The 17,219-nt window shown below is 35.7% G+C and overlaps 1 protein-coding gene and 1 long non-coding RNA gene across 5 annotated transcripts in view; both read left to right on the forward strand.

Annotated features, from left to right (window-relative positions):
• Positions 1–17,219, forward strand: part of RSRC1 (arginine and serine rich coiled-coil 1) — a 435,642-nt gene that overhangs the window by 405,175 nt on the left and 13,248 nt on the right. The gene's annotated exons all lie outside the window — the stretch shown is intronic.
• Positions 11,445–13,311, forward strand: UC.134 (long non-coding RNA uc.134). Its single transcript, NR_148407.1, has one exon. It is a non-coding gene; the product is annotated as a long non-coding RNA uc.134 (long non-coding RNA).

Raw genomic sequence — 17,219 nt, forward strand, 5'->3', positions numbered from 1 at the left:
TCCTTCAGGAGCTCTTTTAGGGCAGGCCTGGTGGTGACAAAATCTCTCAGCATTTGCTTGTCTGTAAAGTATTTTATTTCTCCTTCACCTATGAAGCTTAGTTTGGCTGGATATGAAATTCTGGGTTGAAAATTCTTTTCTTTAAGAATGTTGAATATTGGCCCCGACTCTCTTCTGGCTTGTAGCGTTTCTGCCGAGAGATCCGCTGTTAGTCTGATGGGCTTCCCTTTGAGGGTAACCCGACCTTTCTCTCTGGCTGCCCTTAACATTTTTTCCTTCATTTCAACTTTGGTGAATCTGACAATTATGTGTCTTGGAGTTGCTCTTCTCGAGGATTATCTTTGTGGCGTTCTCTGTATTTCCTGAATCTGAACGTTGGCCTGCCTTGCTAGATTGGGGAAGTTCTCCTGGATAATATCCTGCAGAGTGTTTTCCAACTTGGTTCCATTCTCCCCGTCACTTTCAGGTACACCAATCAGACGTAGATTTGGTCTTTTCACATAGTCCCATATTTCTTGGAGGCTTTGCTCGTTTCTTTTTATTCTTTTTTCTGTAAACTTCCCTTCTTACTTCATTTCATTCATTTCATCTTCCATCGCTGATACCCTTTCTTCCAGTTGATCACATCGGCTCCTGAGGCTTCTGCATTCTTCACGTAGTTCTCGAGCCTTGGTTTTCAGCTCCATCAGCTCCTTTAAGCACTTCTCTGTATTGGTTATTCTAGTTATACATTCTTCTAAATTTTTTTCAAAGTTTTCAACTTCTTTGCCTTTGGTTTGAATGTCCTCCGTAGCTTGGAGTAATTTGATCATCTGAAGCCTTCTTCTCTCAGCTCGTCAAAGTCATTCTCCGTCCAGCTTTGTTCCATTGCTGGTGAGGAACTGCGTTCCTTTGGAGGAGGAGAGGTGCTCGCTTTTTAGAGTTTCCAGTTTTTCTGCTCTGTTTTTTCCCCATCTTTGTGGTTTTATCTACTTTTGGTCTTTGATGATGGTGATGTACAGATGGGTTTTTGGTGTGGATGTCCTTTCTGTTTGTTAGTTTTCCTTCTAACAGACAGGACCCTCAGCTGCAGGTCTGTTGGAGTACCCGGCCGTGTGAGGTGTCAGTGTGCCCCTGCTGGGGGGTGCCTCCCAGTTAGGCTGCTCGGGGGTCAGGGGTCAGGGACCCACTTGAGGAGGCAGTCTGCCTGTTCTCAGATCTCCAGCTGGGTGCTGGGAGAACCACTGCTCTCTTCAAAGCTGTCAGACAGGGACATTTAAGTCTGCAGAGGTTACTGCTGTCTTTTTGTTGTCTGTGCCCTGCCCCCAGAGGTGGAGCCTACAGAGGCAGGCAGGCCTCCTTGAGCTGTGGTGGGCTCCACCCGGTTGGAGCTTCCCGGCTGCTTTGTTTACCTAAGCAAGCCTGGGCAATGGTGGGCGCCCCTTCCCCAGCCTCGTTGCCGCCTTGCAGTTTGATCTCAGACTGCTGTGCTAGCAATCAGCGAGACTCCGTGGGCGTAGGGCCCTCCGAGCCAGGTGCGGGATATAATCTCCTGGTGCGCTATTTTTTAAGCCCGTCGGAAAAGTGCGGTATTCAGGTGGGAGTGACCCGATTTTCCAGGTGCCGTCTGTCACCCCTTTCTTTGACTAGGAAACGGAACTCCCTGACCCCTTGTGCTTCCCAAGTGAGGCAGTGCCTCGCCCTGCTTTGGCTCGTGCACGGTGCACGCACCCACTGACCTATGCCCACTGTCTGGCACTCCCTAGTGAGATGAACCCGGTACCTCAGATGGAAATGCAGAAATCACCCGTCTTCTGCGTCGCTCACGCTGGGAGCCATAGACCAGAGCTGTTCCTATTCGGCCATCTTGGCTCCTCCCTCCATTTGTTGGATTTATTCCTAGTTGCCTTATATTTTTTGCTATTAATATTATTATCATTTTACAATTAATTTTCTGTTCAGGGCTGCTATATAGAAATGAAGTTGATTCTTGAGTATTGATTTTGTACCTAACAAATTATCTGTAAATACTTTTGGGTTTTCTATAAATACAATCATCTTATCTTTTTGTCTCTTTCCACTTGTTATATCATTTCTTTCTTTTTCTTTTCTCACTGCACTGACTGCAACCCCCACTAACCAGTACCTAATAGAAATGGTGATAGCTAGTATCGTCATCCTGTTTGTGATCATTAAGGTATTGCTTTTTAATATTTAACAAGTATGATACTTGCTTTATCTTTTTTATAGGGGGTGATGTTTGTTTTGGTGGATTCCCTTTGCTTCAGATCAGAGATGTTTCCTTCCTTTTTTATTTTGTTTCAACTTCAAGTAAATAGTAAGTTTTGTTAGACTTTTTTTTTTTTTAGAGACAGGGTCTTGCTGTGTTGCCCCAGGTAGAGTGCAGTGGCATGATCATGGCTCACTGAAGTTTTGAACTGCTGGACACAAGTGATCCACCTCAACTTCCCAAAGTGCTGAAACTATAGGTGTATACCACAACACCCAGCTAATTTTTTTTTTTTTTTTTTTTTTTTTTTTTTTTTTTTTTGTTGAGACAGGGTCTGACCAGGTTGGTCTTGAAATCGTGGACTCAGGCAGTCCTCCTGCCTCTGCTTCGCAAAGTGAGGATTATAGGCATGGGCCATCACACCCAGCTGACTTTAGTTTTTTTAGTTTAATTTTTCTCTTTTAATCCCAAAATGTTATTAATTATATTAATATATCTTCTGTGTTAAACTAAATTTGAGGTCCTAGAATAAACCAAACATGGTTATGGTGTATTATCTATTTTTATACAATTTGATTTCATTTATTTTTATATAAATTATGCATATGTACGTAAGTGCGTGCGTGTGTGTGTGTGTGTGTGTGTGTGTGTGTGTATATATATATATATATATATATTTTTTTTTTTTTTTTTTTTACTCCCATACCCTTTTTGCATCTGCATTCATGATTTGCTTCTGTGACCTTTTTTGGTACTGTTCTTGACTGGGTTTTAAAAAGCAAGATTGTGCTAGCCTAGTAAAATGAATTAGGAAGTCAGTTTGTGTAACATCAAAATTATTTTTTCCTTGAACGTTTGATAGAACTTTTCTGTAAATCTTCTGAGTATAGTGTTTATAAAAGATTTTTTTTTTTGTCAAATGATTCAATTTCTTTATGGGTTAAAGGACTACTATAACTCTTCATTTTGGGTCATAGATTTTCTTTTAACTTCCTGTGATCTCAACAATACATTTAATTTGATTTTTAAAAATATTTAATATTCTTGTTATGGAAGTATCATTTAGAAGTACCGGTAGAAGTATCATTTAATTTATCATATATCCATATCCTCCATAATCTGGGAAACAGAAGTCTTCATTTAACCACCATCCCTCTCCAATTTTACTTAACGTCATTCCATTAAAACTGCTTTTGTCAAAATCACCAATACTCTCTAATTTTCCAAATCTAGTATAATTTTTCTAATCACATGCAAACTCTGAGCAGCATTTAACTCAACCGACCACACTATTCTTCTGGAAACACCCTCTTTTTCAGTTTATATAACATAGTACTGAATCTGGTTTTTCTACCAGCGTGACCATTCTGTCTCCTTTTCTTCTTCTTGATTTCCAAGTGTTGTTTACAGGAACTCAGTCTTTTTCTTTTCTATCTCAGGTGAATTTATCATTTTTCACTAGTGTGAATATGTATACTTATTACTTCCAAATTTTTATCTGAAGTACAGGCTCTCTCTTCCGAACTCCAGACTTGAAGACTTTTTTTTTGTTTTAACATATAGTCATCTCAAAGTTATCATCTTCAAAACTGAACTCAACTACACCCATTCAGGTCTTTCTCGTTGTAATGAATGAACCATCATTTATCTGGTTGCTTGATCCAGAAAGTTGGAAATCAGCCTTTATTTTCATAATTCTTTTACCTTCCACAAATTTTTGTTAATTCTACATCCCAAATATCTTTATCTCCTGTGCTAACCCTGGTCTGGGTGTTCACCATTTCTTGCCCGGACTTCTGTAATAGCCTCACAAGTAACTGGTTTCTTTACTCTCTTACATTAGAGTGACCAGCGGTTTCTCTACTCTCTCGTATTAGAGAGTGACCAGTGTTTTCTTTACTATCTCTTGTGCTAGAAAGGGACCAGTGGCTAGTTCAGACTGAGTGCTCTGGGAAGGTCTCCCTAAGGAGCTGACATTTAAGCTAAAATCTGAATAACAAGGAGGGACTTGCCACCCAAAGAGCATTCTAGATGGAGGAAACACCTTCTGTAAAGATTATAAGCTAAAAAATAAATTTCAAATGCTTAAGAACCCTGAAGAAGGCCAGTTTGGCAAGGGGTAGAGATTTGGTTAAAGAGTTTAGCAGGAGCCAGATTATACCAGCCTTCGTAAGTAAGAGCATAAAATGTAAACTTTATTCTAAATGAGTTAAGAGGCCAATTAAAAGTGATGCTTTGAATTTAAGGGGTGAGAGAGAAGAATTGAAGATGTGGCATATGAGTCTAAAGTTTGGGAAAGATGTTAAGGCTAGAGCTAAAGATTTGAGGGTCACCAGCCTACAAATGGTGTTTATAACTATATGTTACCTAGAGAGAGAATATAGATAAAGAAGAGAAAGGAGCCTACATTGAGCCTTGGAGTACTCTAATGTTAGAGGTGCCAGTAGAGAAAAATGAGGAATTGTGACCAGTGAGGAAAAGGAAAACCAGAAGTGTATGATGTCATGGAAGCCAAATGAAAAAAAAGTTTCAGGAATGAAGAAGTGGTCACTTCTGTTGAATGACGGACTGGAGAAGAAATAGAAATAGAATCCTTCTATTAAGGTCAGCCTTGAGTAGTTTCAAGGACAGTCAAAGGTAGTTTTTAAATACTCTCTAGAAATTCTTATGAGAGGTAAACAAGTATCTTCCACTTTTCCAAATTTAATTTGGAAAATTAAATTGGCCCATTCTATTTTGTAGCAGAATTTCAGAGTGGTTGATAACCTTTTGGACAAGATCAGGTTTTCTTAAAGCTTACAGCTTCACAGTGTCTCTGACTAGACAGACACAAAGAAATAAATATGTTCTCCTAGCAATCAGCACATGGAGGAACAATTAAACTTGTCTTATTTAGAAGAATCCTTCTTGTAGTCATCACTTTTGAACAGACTATTTGCAGTCAGAGATTATTTAAGGTAGTACTTGGCTTTTTGAATGTGTTTACTATAGAAGACTTTGAGAAATGGGCAGCAAAGAGACACTGAAAATTATCTTTTAAATCCATTTCCTGAGTATTTGGGTCAAATGACTTTCTGATGTGTTGGACAGTAATTGATTCCAGGGAATTGTTTTTACTGTCTGCCTAATCACTGTCTTATTGCTTCTGGAATATTGACCTCCTATGTCCATCTGGCTGACAGGATCAAGCCCTGAGTCAGCCTGTAAAAACTCTTCTTGAAATGTTTCAAATTAATTGTGGATTTGCAGTGGTTTCATTTTCAAAGGTTTATGTTTATTGCTAACATTGTTATGTGATAGTTTTGTGATTATTAAATGAGTTTAAGTAGACCTAGAAGTGTGTTATGCATGTCTATGTATGTGGGTATATATAAAATTTTTATTTATAATCAGTCTTAGTCTTCATGGGTTGGAATTTTATTCCCATATTTTTTGCTTGGATTGAAATGGCATGCTTATCTAACATAACTAGAATTCCCTGGTTATTCCCTGGTTATGTAGTTACAGATACTACAAACTGGTAAACATACCTAAGAGGTTTGCAGATTTCTCCATCTGTATGGATTAATACATTTTCTGCCCAAATTTTGAGACATAACAGAATGATTGCCACTACCATCTCTCCATTCCCGAAGATCACATATTTTTAGAAGACTAGTCACCTATTGGTGGTAGTTAATGTTATGACTCCATAAGAATTAAAATAAGTGAAATATTAATAGATTGCTTAGAAATTATGTTGTTATGGTTAGAGATTATGCCCTAGAGCCACTGTCATCCCACGCTAGTCACCAGCAGATCTCCATGTGAAGTTCAAGACTGTTGTACATGTTCTATTTGTTGTCTCTTTACTCTCCTTCCTTCTACTGCCCACATCTTCGGAACCCCTTGTCCTGCCTTATCCCCAGGGTTTAGCACCCACACAATCCTGATCTTTCCATTAGTTCCTCATCCTCTGGATTTTTCATTTGTCCAAGTTTTTCAATGTTGCAGGGCCCTGTTTTCTTCTATGAAATAACAAACTCACCTCTGCTGAAATGCCACCTCTGCCCAGAGATCATATTTGCACTTTAGTATACACCATATCTTTACTCAAAAAAAGGATGTAAATTTAATGGGAAGACTTGCCTAAGATTATATCATTAGTTGTGAAGCTAGAACTTAGAGCACTAATATTCACAGTCACTTACTTCACTTGTAAATAGAGCTGGAGTTGCCTTATTATATTGCAATTTTATGACTTAAAGCATTGTATTTGTCATGAAAAAACACTTAGTAAAAACAAATTAATGGTTAATAATAATATTGTTCCTATAGCTGATTTCCTTCAAAGGTGCTGAGGAATGGGCTAAAATATATAATCTCACTTCCCATTTGTTAATTCCTTTATTTATTTGTTTATGCTATGCTTCCTATATCTGAATGGCTCTATATATGTCTCAGTTTAATCTAGCAAATGTGGGGACTAGAATGATTTGCTTTATTGATATGATAATGTATTAGAATTACATTAAAATATAGAAACTTTTCTCTGTTTTTATAAAGGGTAGGATCGTTATTGATTGAGATTTCCAGCTGAAAAGTTTGCTACTCTTTTTTTTCTTGAAGTAGAATTTTTTAAATGAAATAATTAAGCTGTCTCACCAGAATATTTTAATTGAAAAAATTAGCTTTGCATAGAATTCATAGGTCTTATTATCATATAATTTTCATAACATTGTGAAGATTTCAGTCTTCTCCAAAATAAGCAGCAATAAATAATAATCATATATATTCCTTGATACAGCTTGGCCAACTGTATTTCAACATACAAAAACACACAAGGCCTACTTTACTTTTTTTTTCTCCCCTTTGAGACAGGTTTCACTCTGTCATCCTGGCTAGAATGCAGTGGCACAATCACGGCTCACTGCAGCCTTGAATTCCTGGGCTCAAGTGATTCTTCCACCACAGCCTTCCAAACACTAAGATTACAGGCATGAGCCGCTGCATCCAGCTGTACCCTACTTTCATGATAAAGATAATATGGCATTTAGGGCTTGTCTTGATTAAAAGCCAAGAATATTATTTGCATTTCTTTGAAAGAAAAAGCTGAATTGAGGATAAAGTAGCGTCAAAATGACGACCAAATGGAAAGGAGATTATAATTGCAGATTTCAGAACACAGTTTAGTATACTTATGTATATTACTTCTTAAATAATGGTTTGAGGAGTGCAGATTATTCATCCATTTGATTTGAGATCTCTCCATGCTTCATTTTTTTTCCCTGGACAGTTAGAATTTTCCCTCATGGTTCAGACTCTTAAATATATATGCTCACCCTAAGTTCTTTAAAGTCCCTGAAAAGTTGCCTTCTCTATTAGTCATTCATTCTTTATTCTCCTTTTTGATTTTTCTGTCATCAGTGACACCTGAATACATTTTCCAGCCTACACTCATTGACCAAAAAAGAAAAAACTTGGCATCAACATTGTTTTTAGTCATTTAGACCATTATGTCCTTATGTGGCAACTACTTTATAAAGTAACATGAACATGACTCAACTTTTGGCTCTAAAATCAGAAGAAATAAAGATTTGCAATAGCAGTATCTATTTGTGAGCAATAACATTTTTATAAATTGATCCATTTCCAGACACTATTTTTAAAGTTGGTTTAAGTGATAGGCATTTTTTAAGTGTTGTACCTAGCAAACTATGAAAAGTCTCTTATTAATCATTTGTATTTCAACTTATTTCTGAACTTAAATCTTATTATATATAATACTTTGCATCCTAATGCTAAATCTCAACATAAAGTAGTAGGAGCAGAGTTTCTACTCAGAATCAGTTTTACATGAAATGAAAACAACCTTGAATAATTAAAGCAATTTTTAAAAAGAAAAGTTAGATGTCTATACTCCCTGTTTTAAGACTTACTGTATAAAATTACAGTAATCAAGACTATATATTACTATAGGGATAGACATATGAGGGAACTTTTAAAAGTTCATGGAAATTGAATTAAAAGATAAAAAATATAAACCTTATCTCTCAATGGAAGCTCCATCAAGGTCTAGACACTTTTGTAAGCAATGATACCAGCCATTTAGTTCAACCCTAAAACACTGAGGGTCCTAGGAATTTAACTATGTTAATGAAGTCTTTTTTACATTATTAACTGAAGACGAATGGGTGCCTTTTAAGATTTTTTATGATTAGGAAACAAAAAGAAGTCAGAAGGAGCCAAATCAGGGCAGTAATGTGGATGCCTAATGATTTCCCATCAAAACTCTCACAAAATTGCCCATGTTTGATGAGAGGAATGAGCAGGAGCATGGTCATAGTGGGGAAGGACTCTCTGGTGAAGCTTTCCCAGACATTTTCCTGCTAAAGCTTTGGCCAATTTTCTTAAAGTATTCTCAATAAGTATTGTTCTTTGGCCCTCCAGAAAGCTAACAAGAAAATGCCTTGAGCATCCCAAAAACGTGTTGCCATGACCTTTGCTCTTCACCAGTCTGCTTTTGATTAGACTGGACCACTTCCTCCTGGTTGCCATTGCTTTGATTGTGCTTTGTCTTCAGCATCATACTGGCAAAGCCATGTTTCACCTCTGTTACAATTCTTTGAAGAATTTCATCTCACCTGTTAGTAATTTTCATTGAAATCTCTGCTCTTGTCTGCAGCTCATCTGGGCACAACATTTTTGGCACCCATCAATTGGAAAGTTTGCTTAACTTTAATTTTTCAGTCAGAATTACATAAGCTAAACCAATTGAATTGTGGTTTAGGCTGTGGTGTTGGCTATTTGTGTTGTTAATTATCAGTCCTCTTCAATTAGGGCACAATTAAGATGAATTTTTTCCTTGCGAATTTATGTGCCTGGTCTGCTGCTGCAGGCTTCACCTTCAATATCATCTCATCCCTTCTTAAAACGATTTGTAAGCTGCTGATTTCTTTGGGGCATTGTCCACATAAACTTATCATAAGGCATCAATGATTTCACCATTCTTTCACCCAAGCTTCATTATAAATTTAATGTTTGTTCTTGCTTCAATCTTTGCAGAATTCATATTCTGATAAGGATTCTTTTCAAACTGATGTCTTACCCTTCTTAGTCCCTCAAACTAGATCCTGTTCAGACATGTTATGACGAGTTAATTCAAGTTTATTTTGGTGCAGACAAAATTGAAATCCATACCGTTTTTCTATAATGTACATTTTCCATGAACTTTTTAAGACCCCTTATATAGAACAATGGAGCAGGGTAGAGAGACCTTGCTCAACCCTCATGTATATGATCAATTAATTTTCAACAAAACTACCAAGGCAATTCAATTGGGAAAGGAAAGTCTTTCAACAAATGCGACTGAAAAAACTGGATATTCTTACTGAGGAAAAGAAACATTGACCCTTACCTCACATCATACATAAGAATTAGCTTTAGTTTCACAGCAGAAAAATGCGGGACCCATAAGAATTAGCTTGAAATGTATTATAAACCTAATTATAAAAGCTAAAACTATAGAACTTCTAGAAGAAAATTTTTGCAGCCTTGAGTATGCAAAGATTTTTTGGATAAGACACAAAAAGCACAAACCATTTTTTAAAATGATAGATTATACTTCCTTAAACTTAAAAAGTTTTATTCTTTGAAAGATACCATTAAGAAACAAAAAGGCAAGTCATAGAATGGAAGCAAATATTAGCAATATGTATTAACAAAGGACTTCAATTCCGTATATATAAAGAACTCATAACTCAATAAGACAAACAACCAATTAAACAATGAAGAAAAGATTTCAACAGATCATTCAGAAAAGAAAGGATGGCCAATAATCTTATGAAGAAAATGCTGAATATCATTAGTCATCAGAGAAATGCAAATTAAAACAGCAGTGAAATACATTACACCAATTAGAATGGCTGTGAGTTAAAAATCTGATAACGCCAACTGTTGATGAAGATGTAGAGCACCAGTACTCTTCTACACTGCTGTTGGGAACATAAAATGGTATAACCACTTTGGAAATCAGTTTGGCAGTGTCTTACAAAGTTAAACATATGTCTACCATACAACCCAACTATTTCAGTACTAGGGCAGTATTTACTATCCAAGAGAAATAAAAACATGTTCACACAAAGAGTTGTACATGAATGTTATAGCAACCTTATTCTCAAAAGCCAGAACCTGGAAACAACCCAAATGTTCATCTGCAGGTGAATAGATTTTAAAAATTGCAGATATTCATATAATAGAATTCTACTAGCATTACCACAGATGTACCCAACAACATGGATTTATCTCAGAAACGTTATGCTGAGTGAAAGACATCAGATATAAAAGAGTATGCAATTTATATGGAAGTCTAGAAAATGCAGACTAATCTAAAGTGGCAGGAAGCAGATCTGTGGTTGTCTGGGGGTCAGGGTAGAGATAGAAATTGACTACAGAGAGACACAAGAAAATTCTTGGTAACAATGGACATGTTCTATATATTGATTGTTGTAGTGGTAACACAGAATTAACATGTACCAAAACTCACCAAATTGTATGCTTTGATAGGCACAGTTATAGATAAATTATACTTCAGTAAAGCTAATATTGTAAGTGCAATTTGAAGTATTTGGTGGTTTCTTTAAACCTTATGATTTTATATGATGCACTTCATTATTGATATAGCAAAATACTCTGCTTTTAGAAAAGAGAAATTAACATCATCTCACATCTTCTACCATCCTCCCTACCCCACCTCTGTTTAAAGGATCAAAGTTGTACATAAAATTGATAAAATAAGCACGTAAAATCATAACTATTAATCATGTAAGGTTATCAAAGATTGAAAGGCTACAGAGCAGCCTAGTGCAATGGGAAGCGTAGAGGATGTTTGAAGTACTAAGACTTGGTTTCATATCCAAAATCTAGCTCTAATAGTATATCTTAAACTTAGAAATGAGTATATTACGTATTACCAAAAATTAGGATCAAGTGAAACATGCTAAGGCACTTGCAAACACAACAAATCCCTGTTCCTACCCACTGTATAGTCAGATCTTAACTGCTTGCAGATAAAAGTTCTAAATAAGAATTAGTTTGATTTGCCAATGAACTCTGAGAGAGCAACTGGAAATCTCAACCAGAAATCTCCAACACCTAGCCTAGCACCTGGCATAAATACATGTTAACTAAATTAATTTCCTATTTCTGAACCCCAGTGTTTTTATTGGCTCTGTTCAGAGAAATTAAGGCACATGGGGCCATAGACTATTTTCTCTAAGCTTATGAGCCGAAACATAATATGCTTACAAGAAGAGACATTAGAACTCATAACTTTATACTGACTAATGTTCAAATACAATTATGTTAGGTATCCATTTGCTTCTGACATCACAAAAGAACAGATCACAAAAGACTTGGACTTAAGCTGTCTGCTTTTCCTTGCATAATAAGTCCCCTGGTTCAGGGAATCCAGTCATTATAGAATTTAGCCTAACTGCTTCTAATCCATGTAGGACTTTTTATTAAAGATGAAAACTAGTAAAGAATTAACCATGAGAGGAAATAAAAGATTAATTCAAGTCAGTCATCACCGTATCTATATCTTAAGAAGTTAATAGTTCAAAATCTTTTTTTTTTTTTTTTTTTTTTTACTGGTAGAAGACTTCTGAATATACTCGCCGCTTCTGAATATACTCCCAGCCCCATGGTGTTAGGGGTAGGTTGCAACTATGTAACTCCAAGCTGACTGGGCTGGCACCAACATCATCAGCACTGCTAACATCTTCCAGCAAGTTTTAGTTCATTAATCTTAATGCCATACATGTACCCTTTCTCTAGCTAGTGGGTGGCCAGACATAAAAACTTGCAAACAGAGGCAAAGACATTAATGGGATGATGCAAGAAGAGAGTTGGAGATTTTTTTTTAAATCTCCTTTGCACATAGGAGTGACCCTAATCAATGCTTTTTGGTGAATATAAGCAGAATACATCTTGTTGCCTTCTCTAGAATAGAGAACTAAGTAGATATGTTGCCTCTGGGTTCAATATTTATTTCTGGAAACTCTTTTCATTTTACTACCATCCTCTAATAAACCAATACATCCACTTTGTAAAATATAAGACTCTGGAGTTATTATATGTGCTTATAAAAACACACCTTTAGATAAGTGGTTTTTCCAATCTTCTGATACTCCTCATTTCCTTCTCATTGATTTTCAAGTTTCAACACAATTTTTTAAAAATAAGGATTTAAACATGAGACAGTAAACCTGGGTAAAGAACTAAGGGGTTTTGAAATTCAAAGTTATTATTTCTGTTTTTAGTAGCTGTTCCACCCTTGCAAATATGTATAATAATTAGCCACAATTAATATTCCTCTTTTCCCTAATTCATTATAAAAAGTATAACTTCTATACAATAATGCATTACATTTTTATCATGAGAAATCATAACAATATCTTTATATTTGAACCTGAACTTCAATATGAATTTGTGAGATTTTTTATATTAATGTGTGTATTTTGTAATGTATGTGGTATGTGTATATATATGTTTATTTTAGACACATTTGACTACATTTATATATTCATAGAGATTTACATAGAGGCATTAAAAAAACAGGCATAGTCAGTCATGGATGTTCATTATATATAAAGGTTATTGGGGATGCAAAGATATAAAAGATAGAAGAACCTAGTAATTGCCTTTAAGATCAGAGCACAAAGCATTAGTTTGGATTTTACAAGGCCAGCCAGCAACAAAAGAGCAGTAATTTATGAGCTCAGCGTAAAAGAATAGCATAATTGCATTAAAAATTAATGCTAATGAACACTAAAATGGGGAAGGTGGTTATGATGAAAGTTTGTATTCATCTTTCCTGGTTTGAATGATGGCTAGTGGCTTGATTAATGGCTTAATTTCTATCAATTAGCGGGGAAAAATCTCCTGCGAGACAAGGGTAAATTGAGCATTGAATTACATATCTTGCTTTTGTGTGCTAAGAAAAAAGAGCTGCGTATCTCTGATATTAGCCACAGTGACAAATGTGGTGTGCCCTGCGATGTCTGCATTAGCTCTCCTGACAGGCGAGTTGTGTGTGGTTATGGGGTGTTTAGAGATGGCTGGCAGACAGCATTCACTGCAAGTTCCTTAGAAACATACAACTCTTCCATCTACAGAATTTTAATTAGAGTCGATAAGGATTCTAGAATTAAAATGGACAGCAAACAGCAACTGCAGAATCTGTATTCTGACCTATTAATCTGGTATACATCAAATTATATTCCTTTTTCCTACCCTATTAAAATAAGAAAACTTCCAGTAGCTTTAGTTTTGTTGGGATTATGAATTCTTACCACTCTATTAAAGTGGATTTGACTATCAATGTTGATTACATTTGCAATAAGCATAAGGCAGTAGTCTATATTTTGGGACTATGTAGTGGTTGTTGGTTTAACCAAATTCATGGAAACCATTCTTGTTTTTTGTAACAATTGCTGAACAGTAAATAAAGAGCAGCTTAAAGTGACAATTTCCTACTTAGGTTGTTTGCAGGCTTAAGGGAAAAAAATGCTAGGTTTTTAGAAACTTTTTAAATTCATTTACAAAGGTTTTCTAGATGTGATATATATATATATCCCTTTAAAAATTTCAAATGTGAAAGATTCTGAAAATGCACATCTGTAATCTAGTTCAAGATAATGCCAGAAGAGTAAGATATTATATAAAATATATATATTTTATGTATATATGTATGTGTGTGTGTATATATATATATATATATATCCTACAAATAAAGCTACACTGTATTTTACTGAATGAGTAAGCATTAAAATGCAGAATAAGGACAATATCAAGAATATTTATTACTTATTATAAATGGATGGAGTGGGGAAAAAATAAATTGTTGCTTGGCAGGAGTGGGTAAAGAATTCATTTGACTGGAAGATGACTAGTCACAATTCAGGGGTTGAATCCCAGTTGTACCACCAACTAGCCATGTGGCTGTCACCAAGTTATTTATTAGCCTCAGTTTCTCATCTTTACAATGAGGGTAACAGTATTATTCCTCATGGTCATGATATTTAAATGAGGTAATCCATGTGAAGTGCTCAGCGCAGAGTGCCTTAAATTTCTATTGCTGTTACTATTACTTACTTCTGCTACCAGAACAGCTCATCTGGCCTTCTAAACAATGACTTAAATGAAAAATTCATTTCTATGACTTTCCCCACTGGAAAGGTATTACATATATCGATGATGAAAACAAAAATTTCCGTGGACATATATACACCAGAACAAAATATGTTTGCTTTAAAACATGGTTTCTACCGCCTAACTGTCATTTTGGGTAGTTTGTGTTATAAGACATCCATTAGGAAGTGACAAGATCTCCCATCTCTTTAGTCACTGAAGCCTGGGTAACCATATGTCAGCAAAATACCACTTTCCTATTCAACCCAGAGCATTCAGTGAATCATGGTAGACTCCAGTGCCTTGGTGGGTGGTAAAATTCAGCTGGGCCTTTTGTGCCTTCTCATAGATGTGCACAGGCCTGTCCTCCACTGCTTCCACTCCTTCTCTCCTCCTCCTATCATTTCCACATCCTGGCACACCACAGGTTTACCAGAAGATGTATGAGCTAAAGCCATTTTCTACTTGCCTGAACTCAAGAATATTGCCAGCTTATTATAAACCATACTGTCAGAAATATACAGATTTATATAAGAATTGTTTAGCCAACTTCCGTGTCTTTAGTACTGTTACTAAATTAGCACTTTTGTTTATGCTGTGCTTCCTGTATCTGCTACCATTTCTTAAGTGCTTTTAATGCTTCCCTATCGCTGTGTGGAGCACAGGTTATCATCTCCCAGATTTTTGTGGCTTGCTTTTTCACATCATTTTTGCCTTCTGAAATACCACCATGTCAGAGAGTTCTTCTCTGGTTACCCCATCTGAAATAGTTTCCTTTCCTCCTTTCTAGCCCTCTAGCCTGCTCTATTTTCCTTGATATTATATTATTTACTTGTTTATTATTTGTCTCCCTCATTAAAACATAAGCTCATGAAGGAAGAAACTCTCATTCATTTCCAAGTCCTACTATGTGGAACAATGCCTGGTACATTGAATGTGCTCACTTATTTGAAAAGAGAGGGATGGAGGGAGGGAGGGAAGATGTGGGGGGGAAATCTCTCAACCACCCTATGATGTTTAGGCTATTACTATCTCCATGCCATAGATGAGAAAATGGAGACCAACACTCTTGAACCACTTGCCCAAAGCCACACAGCTGGTACATAGCAGAGACAGGGTTTAACCCAGATAGCCCAAACCCAGAGCCCTTAAAACTCACCACTGAGGGTGCAGCGCACCAGCATGGCACGTGTATACATATGTAACTAACCTGCACAATGTGCACATGTACCCTAAAACTTAGAGTATAATAAAAAAAAAAATAATAAATAAAAAAAAAAAGAAACTTAAAAAAAAAAAAAAAACTCACCACTGAAAGACATTTAATTTTTTAAGTTACAAAAACTTTTTATAATTTGACATTTTCTTCCATGAAGTTTTATTTTTTAATGGTAACTTTACTGCCCTTTAAATTTCAGTTATTCAACAAATGTTTATTGACTGCTTACTAGATAATAAAGCACACTCCACTAAGTTCTGGAGGTGACACAAAGAGGTATGTCCCCTCTAGCTGGGGAGAAGAAGCTTTCACTCAAGAAGAGATTTGCAAGGCAGCATATGCTAAAAGCCAAATGAATTATGCAAGAGGCCCTTTTACTCACAGGTGGCAAGGTGTGGCATCATCACAAAGTGGACATCAGGCATGGCCTTAAATGACAGGGAGGATTAAGAGAAGGTGAGAGCATTCCAGGTGAGAAGAGTTGAATGAGACATTTAGTGTGGATTTTGTTTTTAATAAAGCTTAGCCTGATGCCCAGTTCACTTTCACTTATTGAAATATTTAACAAATTCTTCTTCATTGATACAGTCACATTAACATTATTCCTATTACTTAATCTGATATAGTAAGCAGTTTAAGGTGAGTTTGTCTTGGATCCCGTCCAAAGTGGAGTTCCTTTCAGACACTTCAGGAGCCTCGTCCGCATATGTAACATGGTCCTGTAGCATAAGCTTCCCAGAAGACTAATAGAAAAGCCCTATTCCACTTAAGGAGTTTTCTCATCTTTTAAATTATTTGTGTATATCAGTTCTGGAAATTTGTTCTCGGTGATATTGGTCTCGAACAACCTCAAAATGTTGGAGTTGGATAGATTTATAATGCTTGCCTTGTATGTGTTTTAAAAGAAACATTTAAAATGTACTGTTTTGAAAGGGAAAACAATTGGATGTGCTCACTTATTTGAAACCTGTGTTCATGAGAAATTTAAAACTTTAGAATTCCAATTAAGCTTTATGAGATGTTTTGTCCACAAATTTTATTGAATAGCCAGCTTTACCATACAAACATATTGTTGTTTGCTTTTTTGTTGTTCTTGTAAAGCACTTAAAAATACTTTACATTTCAAAGTTTTTTATTATCTGTCTTGTAACATAAGAAGGAATTTTTTTAATGTTTTTATTGTTGACTATAATTTGAGCTAATTTAATATGAAAATAAGATAATCTTTTGTATTATTTATGTATTTGTAGCAATATTATTAGTATATATTTTTTTCCTGGAATAGTAACATAAGTAACTCAGTAACTGTGGGGCCAACTGACCCAAATTTTTTGTAACATAAAATGCATCTTTGGGAAAATTCATAAAATATTAGTATTTAAAAGGAGTCAGTTGAAGTTGCTGGTTGTTACTTGTCATGATCACATCTGGGGCAATAGTGCCATCTTCAGTTCTCAGCCTGGCATTGTTATTAGAGGAGATTGGTTTATGTTTGTAATCTACAAATGCAGTATGAAAAGACTAAAATTTTCTTTTCAAATGAAAGATTGATATGGACCTTGTCATCTTTATTTACTAGTTTTAAAATTTGTATAACATTTGGTATTTTAAAAGAAAACT

Source organism: Homo sapiens, chromosome 3, assembly GCF_000001405.40.
Source record: "Homo sapiens chromosome 3, GRCh38.p14 Primary Assembly".
Lineage (NCBI taxonomy): Eukaryota > Metazoa > Chordata > Mammalia > Primates > Hominidae > Homo > Homo sapiens.